This window comes from Homo sapiens, chromosome 12 (genome assembly GCF_000001405.40).
Source record: "Homo sapiens chromosome 12, GRCh38.p14 Primary Assembly".
In the NCBI taxonomy this organism is placed as follows: Eukaryota; Metazoa; Chordata; class Mammalia; order Primates; family Hominidae; genus Homo; species Homo sapiens.
The window spans coordinates 48,655,421-48,670,509 of NC_000012.12; the positions used below are offsets into that span (position 1 = coordinate 48,655,421).

Genomic DNA, 15,089 nt, shown 5'->3' on the forward strand with positions numbered 1-15,089 from the left:
AAGCCAGGCGCGGTGGCACACACCTGTAGTCCCAGCTACTCTGGAGGTTGAGGTGGGAGGATCCCTCAAGCTTGGGACGCAGAGGCTGCAGTGAGCCGAGACTGCACCTCTGCACTCTAACCTGGGTGGCAGAGCCAGACCCTGTCTCAAAAAAAAAAAAAATTCTAGGAAAATTCACAGAAACACAAAGTAGAAACGGAGAATAGTAGGGAACAGGGGAAAGGGAAAGGAGAGAGTTACTGTTTAAAAAGTACAAAGTTTCTGTTTGGGTTGATGAAAAAGTTCTGGAACAGAAAATGGTGATAGCTGTACAACATGGTAAATGTTCATAACACCACTGACTTGTACACTTAAAAACGGCCAGGTGCAGTGGCTCATGCCTATGATAACAACACCTTGGGAAGCCGAAGTGGGAGGATCACTTGAGGCCAGGAATTCAAGACCAGCCTGGGTGACACAGCAAGACTCCATCTCTACCTACCCACCTACTTACACACATACATACATAGGTTAAAAGAGTAAAATTTTGTTATGTATGTTTTACTACAATTAAAAAAATATTTTTTAAAAAAGCATATTCTCTGAGGCTACCTGTAATGAACATGTAAGTTCACCAGTGATTAATTTAAATATGAACAATGCTACGTTAAAATTAAATATTGCTGGGTAATACAAGATTGCCTGATTAATATCCTAACAGCCACAAAGCAAGCAAACAAGCTCCAACAAGGGAAAGGGAGAAGGTAGGAAGAAAGGAAGGACAACAGAAAACTCACAGTTCCTCTGAATGGCTAGGAAATATTATTTTGGTTAAGTCCCTATCCCGACAGAGCAACAACCTGGTTTTTTTTGTTTTGTTTTTTTTTTTTTTGAGACAGAGTCTCGCTCTGTCGCCCAGGCTGGAGTGCAGTGACGTGATCTCGGCTCACTGCAACCTCCGCCTCCTGGGTTCAAGTGATTCTCCTGCCTCAGCCTCCCCAGTAGCTGGGACTATGGGCGTGTGCCACCACGCCCAGCTAATTTTTTGTATTTTTAGTAGAGACAGGGTTTCACCATGTTAGCCAGGATGGCCTTGATCTCCCGACCAGTGATTGGCCCACCTCAGCCTCCCAAAGTGCTGGGATTACAGGCATGAGCCACCACGCCCGGCCAACTCCCTGGTTCTTAAGCCTAACATAGTTTTGCTCTGTAAAAAAAAAAAAAAAAAAAATGACATTACATTCTAGACTATGTTTCTTCCAACTGAATTGGCAATTCGCACTGGAATACTGAATAGCCAACAGACCACAAGGAAGACATCACTCTTAGCTCCTGTTTGAAACCAACAGCTACAGCAAACCATTGGTCTTGATTCAGGGCCTAAGGCAATACAAACTCAAACAATATATCAAACTAACTTTCATGCCACTGCTTTTCAAGAGTCTGGTGCTAAATTCTCCTTCTTCCTAAGAATTAAAAATATCCAGGAGGTTTGTACCCCCCTATGTTTAATCCAGTTTATAGATGCTCCGTGTTTCTATTCATCTAGCTTCACGAGAAGCTTAGTTCTACGCTTTTAAATAAATCTAAGAATTTGCAATCCTTTCCCATTTGTTGGTGTGCTAATCACCAAAAATGAGAATCACAACATCTTCACATTAAAGAATATATATAATTTTAAAATCTACTTAAAGCTGCTCAGGCCGGGTGCAGTGGCTCACGCCTGCAATCCTAACACTTTGGGAGGCCAAGGTGGGCGGATCATGAGGTCAAGAGATTGAGACCATCCTGGCTAACATGGTGAAACCCAGTCTCCACAAAAAATTACCAGCCTGGCCAACATGGTGAAACCCCATCTCTACTAAAAATACAAAAATTAGCCAGGCGTCTTGGCACATACCTGTAGTCCCAGCTACTCAGGACACTGAGGCAGGAGAATTGCTTGAACCCAGGAGGCAGAGGTTGCAGTGAGCCGAGACTGCACCACTGCACTCCAGTCTGGGCAACAGAGCAAGACTCTGTCTCAAAAAAAAATAATAAAATAAAGCTGCTCAATTTAAGCAGAAACATAGGGCACAGGATACACTCAACCTACCATTCATTTTCAGGTGAGTTGGAAACTTCTGTACTACCCACAGAAACCAGTGTTCTCACACCATTAAGACTATAAATCTGTTTTCTCCCATTCTTTTACTATGTGCAATTTGTGTGTGTGTGTGTGCGTGCGTGTGTGTGAGACAGAGTTTCACTCTTGTTACCCAGGCTGGAGTGCAATGGCAAGATCTTGGCTCACTGCAACCTCCACCTCCTGGGTTCAAGCGATTCTCCTGCCTCAGCCTCCCCAGTAGCTGGGATTACAGGCGCGTGCCACCACATCCAGCTAATTGTTGTATTTTTGGTAGAGACGGAGTTTCACCATGTTGGCCAGGCTAGTCTAGAACTCCTGACCTCAGGTGATCTACCCGTCTCGGACTCCCAAAGTGCTGGGATTACAAGCGTCAGCCACCGCACCCGGCCCATGTGCAATTCTTACATAAACAATTAGCTTGGAATGGGCACGGTGGCTCACGCCTGTAATCCTAGCACTTTGGGAGGCCAAGGTGGGCGAAACACTTGAGGCCAGGAGCTTGAGACCAGCCTGGCCAACATGGTGAAACCCTGTCTCTACTAAAAATACAAAAATTAGCCAAGCACAGTGGGGCGCACCTGTAATCCCAACTACTCGGAAGGCTTAGACCGGAGAATCGCTTGAACCCAGGAGGCAGACAGTGCAGTGAGCCGAGATCACGCCAATGCACTCCAGCCTAGGTGACAGAGCGAGACTCTGTCAAAAATAATAATGACTAGCTTGGAATTATTTAAACACTGAATCAAAAGGCATCTAAATCTCAAGATAATAATGGAATGTGTATGTTTTCAGAAAAGGCTTTTCTCATATATACAAAGGGTTGTCTTTTATAAGATTTTAAACTGGGAAAAGGATCCTAAAATAAGAAAATCAGCAAAAATGCCTATTAAAACAGGAGTGTTTTAAAAATTGAAGTATCAGGATATAAAGAGAATCCATGTTTTCAGCTGGGCGCGATGTCTCATGTCTATAATCTCAGCACTTTGGGGAAGCTGAGGGGAGTGGATCACCTGAGGTTAGGAGATCGAGACCAGCCTGGCCAACATGGCGAAACCCCATCTCTACTAAAAAATACAAAAATTAGCCAGACATGGTGGCACACACCTGTAATCCCAGCTACTCGGGAGGCAGGAACAGGAGAATTGCTTGAACCCAGATGGTGAAGGTTGCAGTGAGCCGAGATCGTGCCACTGCACTCCAGTCTGGGCGACAGACCAAGACTCCGTCTCAAAAAATAAATAAAGATAAAATAAGAGAATCCACGTTTTGTTACTATCTCCAAAACCAGCAATAGAGAATGAGAGAGAAGGAACTCAAAAGTAGTAAGATTAAGGTGTTAAGTTACTACTTGCCAACCATCCTTGCATCAAAGCACAGAAAACAAGCAAATATCCAGAATGAACGGCTGTGTTTTTACTCATATTAATATCTGATGCCTAGTCTTCCCGCAAGTAAAATCACCAAAGTTATCATTAACAGTTATACGCCAGGAATGGTGAATCATGCCTATAATCCCAGCACTTTGGGAGGCCAAGGTGGGTGGGTCACTTGAGGCCAGGAGTTAGAGACCAGCCTGGCCAACATGGTGAAACCCTGTCTCTACAAAAAATACAAAAATCAGCAAGGCCTGCTGGCGCACACCTGTAGTCCCAGCTACCCAGGAGGGTGAAGCACAAGAATCACTTGAACCCTGAAGGCAGAGGCTGCAGTGAGCTGAGATCACATCACTGCACTCCAGCTTGAACAACAGAACAAGACTCAGTCTAAAAAAAAAAAAGCCAAGTTATAGTGGCCAGGCACAGTGGTTCACACTTGTAATCCCAGCACTTTGGGAGGCCAAGGTAAGAGGATCACTTGAGGCCAAGGTAAGAGGATCACTTGAGCCTAGGAGTTGAAGACCAGCCCATGCAACATAGGGAGATCTCATCTATACAAAAAATAAAAAATTGGCTGGGCATGGTGGCATAAACCTATAGTCCCAGCTACTTGGGAGGCTGAGACAGGAGGATCACTTAAGCCCAGGAGTTCGAGGCTGCACGGAGCCATGATCATGCCACTGCACTCCAGCCTGAGCAACAGAGCAAGACCCCAATTTAAAAAAAAAAAAGTTATAAAAATGATAACTAAGCTGGGCGTGGTGGCTCATGCCACCGACAGAAACTCTGTCTCAAAAGTTCTTAACAGTATATTCCTTAATAGCCAGAAAGTAGAAACAGCACAAATATCCATCAACTGATATATTTTTAAAGCGTGGTATTTCCAAACAATGGAATATTAATTCAGTCACAAAAAGGAATGAAGTATTGATACATATTATAGTATGGATAAACCTTGAAAACATTATGCTAAGTGAAACAAGCAAGACACAAAAGGATACATATACTATTACATTGATATGAAATGTCCAGAATAAGCAAAATCAGAGACAAAAAGTAGATTCATCGTGGCCAGGGGCTGAGGGGAGAAGAAAATGAAGAGTGTCATAATAGGTACTGAGTTTCTTTTGGAGATGGTGAAAACCTTCTGAAATTAGATAGTGGTGGTAGTTGCGTAACTTTGCGAATATACTAAAAATCACTCAATTATACACTTTCAAAGAGTGCAATTTATAGTATGTAAATTGTATCCCTAAAAAGGTATGGGAAGAGTCTGGAAAAAAATATAAGGTAGGGTAGATTTCTCTAAATGAATATGCTAACATATAAATACAACTATACGTATATATCACTTCAAAAACTTTGTCGATTCTCCTAACCACAAAGACTAACCTATTCTCACCATTAATAAATAAGGCTTTGTCTCAAGGGCCTGAACCAAAGCAGAGCTTCTCTAACTTACATCACTGAACTCCAGAGGTAAACTCTCAGTGGGCTGAAGCTCAGCAGCACTCAAGTACAGATCCATGGGGCCGGCTTCCAGATCGTCTGGCACAGACAGTACCTGCTCGGGCTTATACATCTGAGGAGGCAACTGGAAATGCAGTGGGCAGCAGGGATCCTCAGAGAGGCTTACAGGAACAGGTTTGTTGCAGGGTACCTCTTCAGATCCCTGGCAGCACTTGAAGAGAACCTGATTCGTATCCTGACAAATATCTGTAGAAAAATGGTCAAGGGAAATAAAACACAATCTATCGAAAGCATAAAATACAAATAGCATTGTCTGCCACATAAAACTCAAGGTGTGGACTATATAAGATAAATTACAACTACATTTGATACAGAATACCAAATGCAGTTAGCAATTTTTAAAGTTACTTCTCAAAATAAATGTCATTTACTAGCATCAAATTCTAGCTCTACCAGTAATTTAAAACTTGTCCCCAACCTCCTTTTCAGGATCCTGGTCATTTAAACTAGACACCATCCCATTCTCCCTTAAGCAAGTAGCAGTAACACTCCTAGGAACACACACATATTCAGAAGAAACATGTAGTGGCAAATGCAAATAGCCTTGAAAATGCCCCTAAACAGCCCTTCCAAAAGAGTCAAGCGATACAATGTCTCTGCTCCCTTAGCAGACTGGCAAAGTTTGCAACAATTTCTTGGACCTCGTTTCCAAAGATGATTACATGATAAATTCATTTAAAGCACCACTGGAATAGGGGGAAACAGAGCTCTAGTAAAAGTCACTAGGTATCATATCCTAACAAGAAATTAAATATACATGCCTTTTTTTTTTAGGGGAGTGTGCTAGTACAGAGGAATCCTTTTATGATCCTAAAGGAAGAAGAAAATTTTGTGTATGAAGGCCCATTGAAAAAAAAAAGTATTCTAGAAACATTCCAAGGACTCTATTAACAACTTTTGTTAAAGGTAGAAGAAGAAAAGGGCTATATTTCCAAGTTAGCAAAGAAGCTCTGTAGGATGAACCAAAATTGAGATGATTAGATACAATAAAATTCAAGTTACTTTACAAAACACATTTTATGCAAGTGCTACCATTTCTTGAAATCTGTTAACTACCTGGTTATCTTCCTAGATTAATAAACATTATTTTAAAATTTGACTTATTTTTAACCAGAAAACACAATTTTTCTTAAACTGATAGTACCTGAATTATGGAGTTATAATTTTCAACTCAAAACTTTTATGGTAATTTTTTTAAATAAAAAAACTAACATACATTATAATTTTTAAAACCATATGAACTTCCTTGAATAAAGCTATTTCTTTCAATGCATACTTGGAAATAACTAAACTCTCAAGCAGGGTGTGACAACTGTGGCACTACCAACACTGTAGGCCAGGTACATCTTTGTTGGAAGAAGGATGTATAGCAGCATTCCTGGCCTCTATCCACTAGCTGTCAGTAGCACCTCCATCTGAGTTGTAACAACCAAAAATTTCTCCACACATTGCCAACTGGAAAACAAAATGGCCCCCAGTTGAAAACCACTACTCTAAAGAAACAGAAGATAGTACAAGGCAAACAAATATTTATTGAATGATCAAATGAATAAACATATGAATCTAATGGGAATCATCAGATTTGCACTATGCGCTTAAGAAAATCTAAGCAATATCTAATGTGCTTAAGAAGCCCACTCTTAATATTTAAAATATTATCCATTAAATGTTTCAACCAGAAATTTTTTTTACACGAAGTCTCGCTCTGTCACCCAGGCTAGAATGCAGTGGCGTGATCTCGGCTCACTGCAACCTCTGCCTCCTGGGTTCAAGAGATTCTCCTGCCGCAGACTCCAAAGTAGCTGGGATTACAGGCACCTGCCATCACACCCGGCTGATTTTTATACTTCTAGTAGAGACAGGGTTTCGCCATGTTGGCCAGGCTGGTCTCTAACTCCTGACCTCAGGTGATCAGCCCGCCTCAGCCTCCCAAAGTGTTGGGATTACAGGCGTGAGCCACCACGCCTGGCCAAGAACTTTTTTTTATTGGAATTCAAAGGACTTTCACAAGTCTCTTATGTATTTAATACCACAATATCCTAAAAAAGGACTCCCCCCATCATCCTCCACCCGCTTTCCTTTCAGATGGGGCAAAAGAGGTAAAAAGAAGGGAATGGTTAACCTACAACTAGAGTCTGGGTCCTTCACTTTCAGTCGAGTGCTGTCTCCATTAGACCACAGTAAAGAGTTAACAGGTCACCAATGGCAGTCGCATCTTTCTCTGGGATAAGGACTTAAGGAAGGGTAAGTGACTTAGGCAACTATGGAGTGGAAAGGAAAGAGCATAAAAGGAAAAAAAATACTTCCCTTCTCTTTTCAAATACATTTTCAATTTTGCTTTATATTTATATTTTAATAAGCTATTTGACTACAGTATTATAATATCTAAAATAGTCCTTAGTATCTGTAAACTGAGTTTTTTCCCTTATAAAAGTAATTCATGCTCGCCTTAAAAAAACAAAAAATAAAAGAACAGTGAAAAAAGGGCATTCACAACCACACCATGCACAAATTATCACATTTCTGTATTGTTCCCTTCCAGTATTTGGTTTCATGCAATTTCAGACACCGTACAGAATTCCATATCCTGGAATGTCACTATCATTTTGCTGTCATTCATAAATTCTGTTAAATATATTTAATGCCTGAAAATATTCCACACTATGTTGTGTCATTAATTTATCTACCTATTCTCCAGCTCTAAAAATGTTAAGGCTGTCTCAAGTTGGAAGAATATTTCATGTAAAAATATTGGTCTGCATTTGATTATCTCCTTAAAATAAATTCCCAGAGGTAAAAATTACCATATGAGGAAATATGAATTACTGTCAGATTGCTTTCCAAAAAGCTTTTATCTATTTATATTCCCACTGGCAATATTTAGAAGGGTCAATTTCACCATACTCTCACCTACTTTTGAAATTCACTGACTCATTTTTGAAAAATTGTATATTTTAAATTTTATTTTAAAACAAATATATGTACAAATATCAATTTTATAGATTTTTAATTTTCCTTATTTCCTATTTACAGTTGACCTTTAACAACACAAGCTTGAACTGCACGGGTCTACTTACACGTGCATTTTCTTCTGCCTCTGTCATCCCACAGACAATAACACTTCCCCCTCCACTTAACAAAAAGACCATGAGAATAAGGACCTCTATGATAATCCACTTCCATTTAATAAACAGTAAATATATTTTCTCTTATGATTTTCTTAGTAACACTTTTTCCTAGTTTATTTTAAGAACACAATATATAAGACATATAAACATATAAAATATGTGTTAGGAAGCTATGTTGTTGATAAGGCTTCTGATCAACAGTAAGCCATAAGGCTATTAGCAGTTAAATTTTGGGAGAATCAAAAATTATATACAAATTTTCAACTGTGTAGGGGGTCAGCACCCTAACCCCATGAATTGTTCAAAGGCCAACTGTATTTATAGTGAAGATACACACTTTTAACTATTAGCCTTTTTTTTTTTTTTTTTTTTTTGAGACAGAGTCTCACTCTGTCGCCCAGGCTGGAGTGCAATGGCACGATATCGGCTCACCGCCTCCGCCTTCCGGGTTCAAGCGATTCTCCTGCCTCAGCCTCCCGAGTAGCTGGGATTACGGGTGCCCATCACCACGCCTGGCTAATTTTTGTATATTTAGTAGAGATGGGGTTTCACCATATTGGCAAAGCTGGTCTCGAACCCCTGACCTCAGGTGATCCACCCACCTCAGCCTCCCAAAGTGCTGAGATTACAGGTGAGAGCCACTTTGCCCGGCCCTATTAGCCTTTTCTATCTTCTTTTAAATCTGCCCATAGCCTCTGCCCAATTATGTTTTAAGCAATTTTTTTTTTTTTTTGACACAGAGTCTCACATCTGTCGCCCAGGCTGGAGTGCAGTGGCGCAAAACCTCAGCTCACTGCAAGCTCCGCCTCCCAAGTTCATGCCATTCTCCCACCTCAGCCTCTTCAGTAGCTGGGACTACAGGCGCCCACCACCGCACCCGGCTAATTTTTGTATTTTTAGTAGAGATGGGGTTTTGCCGTGTTAGCCAGGATGGTCTCGACCTCCTGACCTCGTGATCTGCCCGCCTCGGCCTCCCAAAGTGCCGGGATTACAGGCGTGAGCCACCGCACCTGGCCTTTTTTTTTTTTTTTTTTTTTTGAGATGGAGTCTCACTCTGTTGCCCAGGCTGGAGTGCAGTGGCGTGAACTCCTCCCACTGCAACCTCCACCTCCCAGGTTCAAGCAATTCTCTGCCTCAGCCTCCCAAGTAGCAAGGATTACAGGAACCCGCCACCATGCCTGGCTAGTTTTTTTTGTATTTTTAGTAGAGATGAGGTTTCACCATCTTGGCCAGGCTGGTCTTGAACTCCTGACCTCGTGATCCACCCATCTTGGCCTCCCAAAGTGCTGGAATTACAGGTGTGAGCCACTGCGCCCGCTTTTTTTTTTTTTTTTTTTTTTTTAGAGACAGGGTTTTCCTCTGTCACCCAAAGTAGAATGCAGTGGCATGATCCTCACTTCAGCTTCAAACTCCTAGGCTCAAAAAATCCTCCCAGGTAGCTAGGACTACAGTCACATGCCATCGTGACCAGATAATTTTTCTTTCTTCTTTTTCTTTAGAGATGAGGTCTTACTGTATTGTCCAGGCTGTAAGCATTTATCTTTAGAGTTTTTCATTACTTTGCACAACCATTTTATATATTAAGAACAATAATCTCTTATCAGACATCTGTTGTAATTAATAAATTAGTAAAATATTTAATAAGCAAAATAAAAATCAGCTTCCTGTCAAAAGACTAAGAAGAGGTTCTCCTTCTCCTCTCCCTATTAAAGAAAATAAGTGGCCGGGCGCTGTGGCTCATGCCTGTAATCCCAGCACTTTGGGAGGCCAAGGCAGGCAGATCACAAGGTCAGGAGATCGAGACCATCCTGGCTAACACGGTGAAACCCCATCTCTACTAAAAATACAAAAATTAGCTGGGCACGGTGGCAGGCACCTGCAATCCCAGCTACTTGGGAGGCTGAGGCAGGAGAATCGCTTGTACCCAGGGGAGTGGAGGATGCAGCAAGCTGAGATCACGGTACTGCACTCCAGCCTGGGTGACAGAGTCAGATTCTGTCTCAAAAAAAACAAATAAAGAAAATAAGTTTTAATTTCCAAATATTTGGCATTTCTTGCCAAGCAAATGAAATCCAGCAATCCTATTTAATTAACAAGTGCTTTTACTGCGAAATTTTTCTCAATGCCTATAATAAATAAGCACTTTCACAATTCAATCAACAACTCAAAAAAGTTTGAAGGCCCAATGCCAAATGTAGTCCTTTAACAGAATCAAGAGACATTATGATGGTTCAAAGGCAAATTAATTGAAAAGAAGAAAAAAAGCATCTCATTTTTGGAAATAGCAAACTTCTAATTTGAATGATGTTTAAAGTATGCAAGTTAGAGGCCAGGCACAGTGACTAAGTGTTATCACAAAAGAGTCAAGAGACTGGGCATGGTGGCTCACAACTGTAATCCTAGCACTTTGGGAGGCTGAGGCGGGAGGATCACATGAGCTCAGAAGTTCGAGACCAGCCTGGGAAACATAGTGACACAACCTCTCTACAAAAATTAAATAAAATTAGCTGGACGTGGTAGCACATGCCTGTAGTCCCAGCTACTCTGGTGGCTGAGGTGGGAAGATCGTTTAAGCCCAGCAGATCACGGCAGTAAGCCATCATCATGCCACTGCACTCCAACTTGGGCAACAGAGTAAGACTCTGTCTCAAAAAAATTAAAAAAAGAAAACTTTTTAAAGAGCCAAGTTTCTTTTTTAAGTTTATAAAGGCCAGGTACAGTGGCTGATGACTGTAAGCCCAGCATTTGGGGAGGAAAGGACTGGCAGACTGCTTAAGCCCAGCAGTTTGAGACCAGCCTGGGCAACATATTGAAAATTGACTCTACAAAAAATAAAAAAAAAAAAAATAGGCCAGGTGCAGTGGCTCATGCCTGTAATCCCAACACTTTGGGAGGCCGAGGCAGGCAGATCACTTGAGGTCAGGAATTTGAGACCAACCTGGCCAACATGGTGAAACCCCATCTCTACTAAAAATACAAAAATTAGCCAGGCGTGGTGGCACGTGCCTGTAATCCCAGCTACTCAGGAGGATGACACACAAGAATTGCTTGAACCCAGGAGGTGGAAGTTGCAGTGAGCCGAGATCACACCACTGCACTCCAGCCTGGGCGACACAGCGAGACTCTGCCTCAAAAAATATAATTAATAATAAAATAAAATAAATAATTAGCCAGGCATGGTGGCACACATACATAGTCCCAGCTATTCAGAAGGCTGAGGTAGGAGAATTGCTTGACCCAGGAGTTAAGGCTGCAGTGAGCTATGACTGAGCCACTGCACTCCAGCCTGGATAACAGTGTGAGACCCTGTCTCAAAAAACACAAATAAAAAAATAAAAGCCGGGCACAGTGGCTTACTCCTGTAATCCCAGCATTCTGGGAAGCCAAGGCGGGTGGATCACCTGAGGTCAGGAGCTCGAGACCAGCCTGGCCAACATGGTGAAACCCCATCTCTACTAATAATACAAACATTAGCCAGGTATTGTGGTACGTGCCTATAATCCCAGCTACTCGGAGAATCGCTTGAACTCGGGAGGCGGAGGGTGCAGTGAGGTGGAGGTTGCAGTGAGCCGAGATCACGCCATTGCACTCCAGCCTGGGAGACTAGAGCAAAACTCCATCTCCAAAAAATAAAAAATAAAATAAAATACAGAAGTGAGGGCCCTAACCACACAAAAGGATAATACTAGAAGTTCACAGTGCAAAATCATCCTTTCAACTGGGGTGGAAAACCCACAGTAATTTTTTAAGTTTATAATTAGATTTAACAGCATTAGGATCCTAATAAGCAAGTTAAATCAGAAACCTTGAGACAATTACAAATATTTTATGTATATTTTGGGACCCAAGTATTAAGGCTATAAATAAATATTAGCCCACATCTATGAAAAACGACTCATGTTTCTTTCTAATGAATTGACCATTACATTTCCAAAGTTATGAAATGGCCAACAGACCATAGAAAGACAATTCTTTAGGCTCCTGCTTGAAACCAACAGCTTCAGCAAACTGCTGGCCTTGATTCAGGGCCAAAGGAAAACAAAATCCTTCAATTAAGCAAACTAGCACAGAGATTCCCACTAGTCTTCAAACTAGCAAACCACAGCCTTAACAGGCAGAGTAAAAAGATACGGGTAAGGCAGTGTCTGGTCATTGGAAGAGACTGATTGGAACAACGAACATCATCCACAAAGGCCAAGCACCTCTGACTGGAACGAGTGGTATGGGCCTGAAATGGAAAAAGACAGATAAAATAGACCCACAAAAGAACACACAAACAATTACGATGAAAATAGTTATATAAGAAAAGCACATCCTAAAGGCTAGAAATTCAACATTTAACAAAAATAGATTCACCAATATTATGCAAAAGACAAAAAACTTTAAAACCTAGTGCATAAAGAATGAGTCAACCTCAATCCCAAATACACCTCTCCATATTCTAAAAGTGTGATATAGCCTATTTAACACAAATTTTGTCTTTTACCAACAGAACTCTGAAATTGCAGCCTTAAGTGGAATCTCAACAAATGAAACAAAATTACTCTTACTGAAACAGAGACCAAGGGTCTGAAAAACAAATTTAAGAATGATCACTTAATTCTTCTTCCTATTAACCTTACTTCCTGACATTCAATTGCTCCTATTCTACCTTCCCACCTTTTAAAACAAGATTCCCAAGCAATTTAGGATTAACCTGTGCTTATTTCTGAACTGAAGAATATCTGAACCAAGGACTTAGAAACTTTTCCCAACTACTCAATATGCAGATGAGAATACTGAGGCCCAGAAAATTTAAGCTAACTGTGCAGACACAGAGCTGGTCAGTGGGGACTCACACTAGAATCCATGTCTCCTGACTTCAAGCTAAGTGCTTTCACTATAACCCATGTGCAAAAAGTCAGATTTCAGATCCAAGACTGGACATAGGGAGTTCAAGACCAGCCTGACCAACATGGAGAAACCCCGTCTCTACTAAAAATACAAAATCAGCCAGACATGGTGGCACATGCCTGTAATCCTAGCTACTCAGGAGGCTGAGGGAGGAGAATCACTTGAACCCAGGAGGTGGATGCTGCGGTGAGCCAAGACGGCGCCATTGCACTCCAGCCTGGGCAACAAGATTGAAACTCTGTCTCAAAAAAAGACTGGACATAGTGTTTTGACAATTACTCTAACTTTGTAAATAAAGTGAACATGAACAGGCACGGTGGCTCATGTCTGCAATCCCAACACTTTGGGAGGCCGAGGTGGGTAGATCACGAGGTCAGGCATTGGAGACCAGCCTGGCCAACATAGTGAAACCCCAAAAAATACAAAAACATTAGCTGGGCGCATGGTGGTGGGCACCTGTAATCCCAGCTACTCGGGAGGCTGAGGCAGGAGAATTGCTTGAAACTGGGAGGCAGAGGTTGAGAGATCTCAGTGAGCCGACATCGCACCACTGCACTCCAGCCCGAGTGACAGTGCGAGACTCCGTCTCGAAAAAATAAAAACAATAAATAAAGTGAACGTATATACCTTAAAGGTATACACACAAATTACCTGTTGGGCAGCACCATCTGTGGCCAGCATTCTCCGTTCCTTCAACTGCCTATGCAGTAAGGCTTCCACTCCATAGCGCTGGCGGTATCGTCGCAGACATTTTAATCGCTTTAAGTTCTCTCGTTCTTTGGCCAAAAGTCCCTCTGGGCCAGTCAGGAGACTACTGCCTAGAGTTACAAGAGTCAAGATGTTATTTGCCAAGCAATCCATCAAGGTTACGTCTCCAAGTCAACAAGTAAACAGGAAAATCCTTGGGCATAAGATAGGCAGTTTCAAAAGCAAATGACCCCCAATCCAGGTACCAAGACAGAAATAAATCTAATTATAGTCATGCACTATATAACCACTTTTTAATCAATCATTGACCATACATACTATGGTGGTCCCATAAGATTATAACAAAGCTGGAAAAAAAATTTTTTTTTTTTTTGAGGCACAGTCTCGCTCTGTTGTCCAGGCTGGAGTGCAGTGGCGCAATCTTGGCTCACTGCAAGCTCCGCCCCCCAGGTTCACGCCATTCTCCTGCCTCAGCCTCCTGAGTAGCTGGGACTACAGGTGCCCGCCACCACGCCCGGCTAATTTTTTTTTTGTATTTTTAGTAGAGACAGGGTTTCATTGTGGTCTCGATCTCCTGACCTCATGATCCGCCTGCCTTGGCCTCCCAAAGTGCTGGGATTACAGGCATGAGCCACCGCACCCGGCCAAAGCTGAAAAATTCTTATTGCCTAGTGACATCATAGTTCAACCCACACATTTGTGGTGATGCTGGTGACCAAACCTACTGCACTGCCAGTTATATACAAGTCTAGCACAGGCTGGACACAGTGGCTCACACCTGTAATCCCAGCACTTTTTGGGAGCCCAAGGCGGGCAGATCACCAGATCAGGAGATTGAGAACATCCTGGCCAACATGGTGAAACCCCATCTCTACTAAAAATACAAAAATTAGCTGGGCGTGGTGGCATGCGCCTATAGTCCCAGTTACTCAGGAGGCTGAGGCAGGAGAATCGCTTGAACCCGGGAGGTGGAGGTTGCAGTGAGCCAAGATCACACACTGCACTCCAGCCTGGCGACAGAGTGAGACTATATCACAAAAAAAAAAAAAAAAATCTAGCACCTACAATTATGCACAGTACCTAATACTCGATAATAAACAACTATGTTACTGGTTTATATATTTACTATATTTATCCTTAGAATGTACTCCACTCTATTTATTAAAAAAAAAAAGTTAAATGTAAAACAGCCTCAGGCAGTTCTCTCAGAAAGTATTGCAGAAGACATTGTTATCATGAGATGACAGTTCGCTGCATGAGATTGTCCCCGAAGACCTTCCACTGGGACAAGATGTGGAGGTGAAAGACAGTGACACTAGGCCCATGTAGGCCTAGGCTAATGTACGT

General features: G+C 41.9%; 1 protein-coding gene and 2 non-coding genes across 3 annotated transcripts in view; all 3 read right to left on the reverse strand.

Moving 5' to 3' along the window:
* Nucleotides 1-15,089, reverse strand: part of KANSL2 (KAT8 regulatory NSL complex subunit 2) — a 29,028-nt gene that overhangs the window by 2,210 nt on the left and 11,729 nt on the right. Inside the window, exons 6-8 of the mRNA NM_017822.4 lie at nt 13,686-13,852; nt 12,273-12,369; nt 4,946-5,199 (exon numbers count right to left, since the gene is read on the reverse strand). Of these exons, the coding sequence (NP_060292.3) occupies nt 4,946-5,199; nt 12,273-12,369; nt 13,686-13,852 (518 nt within the window). The remainder of the gene's footprint in view (nt 1-4,945; nt 5,200-12,272; nt 12,370-13,685; nt 13,853-15,089) is intronic.
* On the reverse strand, nt 1,228-1,362 carry SNORA2A (small nucleolar RNA, H/ACA box 2A). Its single transcript, NR_002950.1, has one exon. It is a non-coding gene; the product is annotated as a small nucleolar RNA, H/ACA box 2A (small nucleolar RNA).
* On the reverse strand, nt 12,037-12,173 carry SNORA2B (small nucleolar RNA, H/ACA box 2B). The gene has a single exon (NR_002951.1). It is a non-coding gene; the product is annotated as a small nucleolar RNA, H/ACA box 2B (small nucleolar RNA).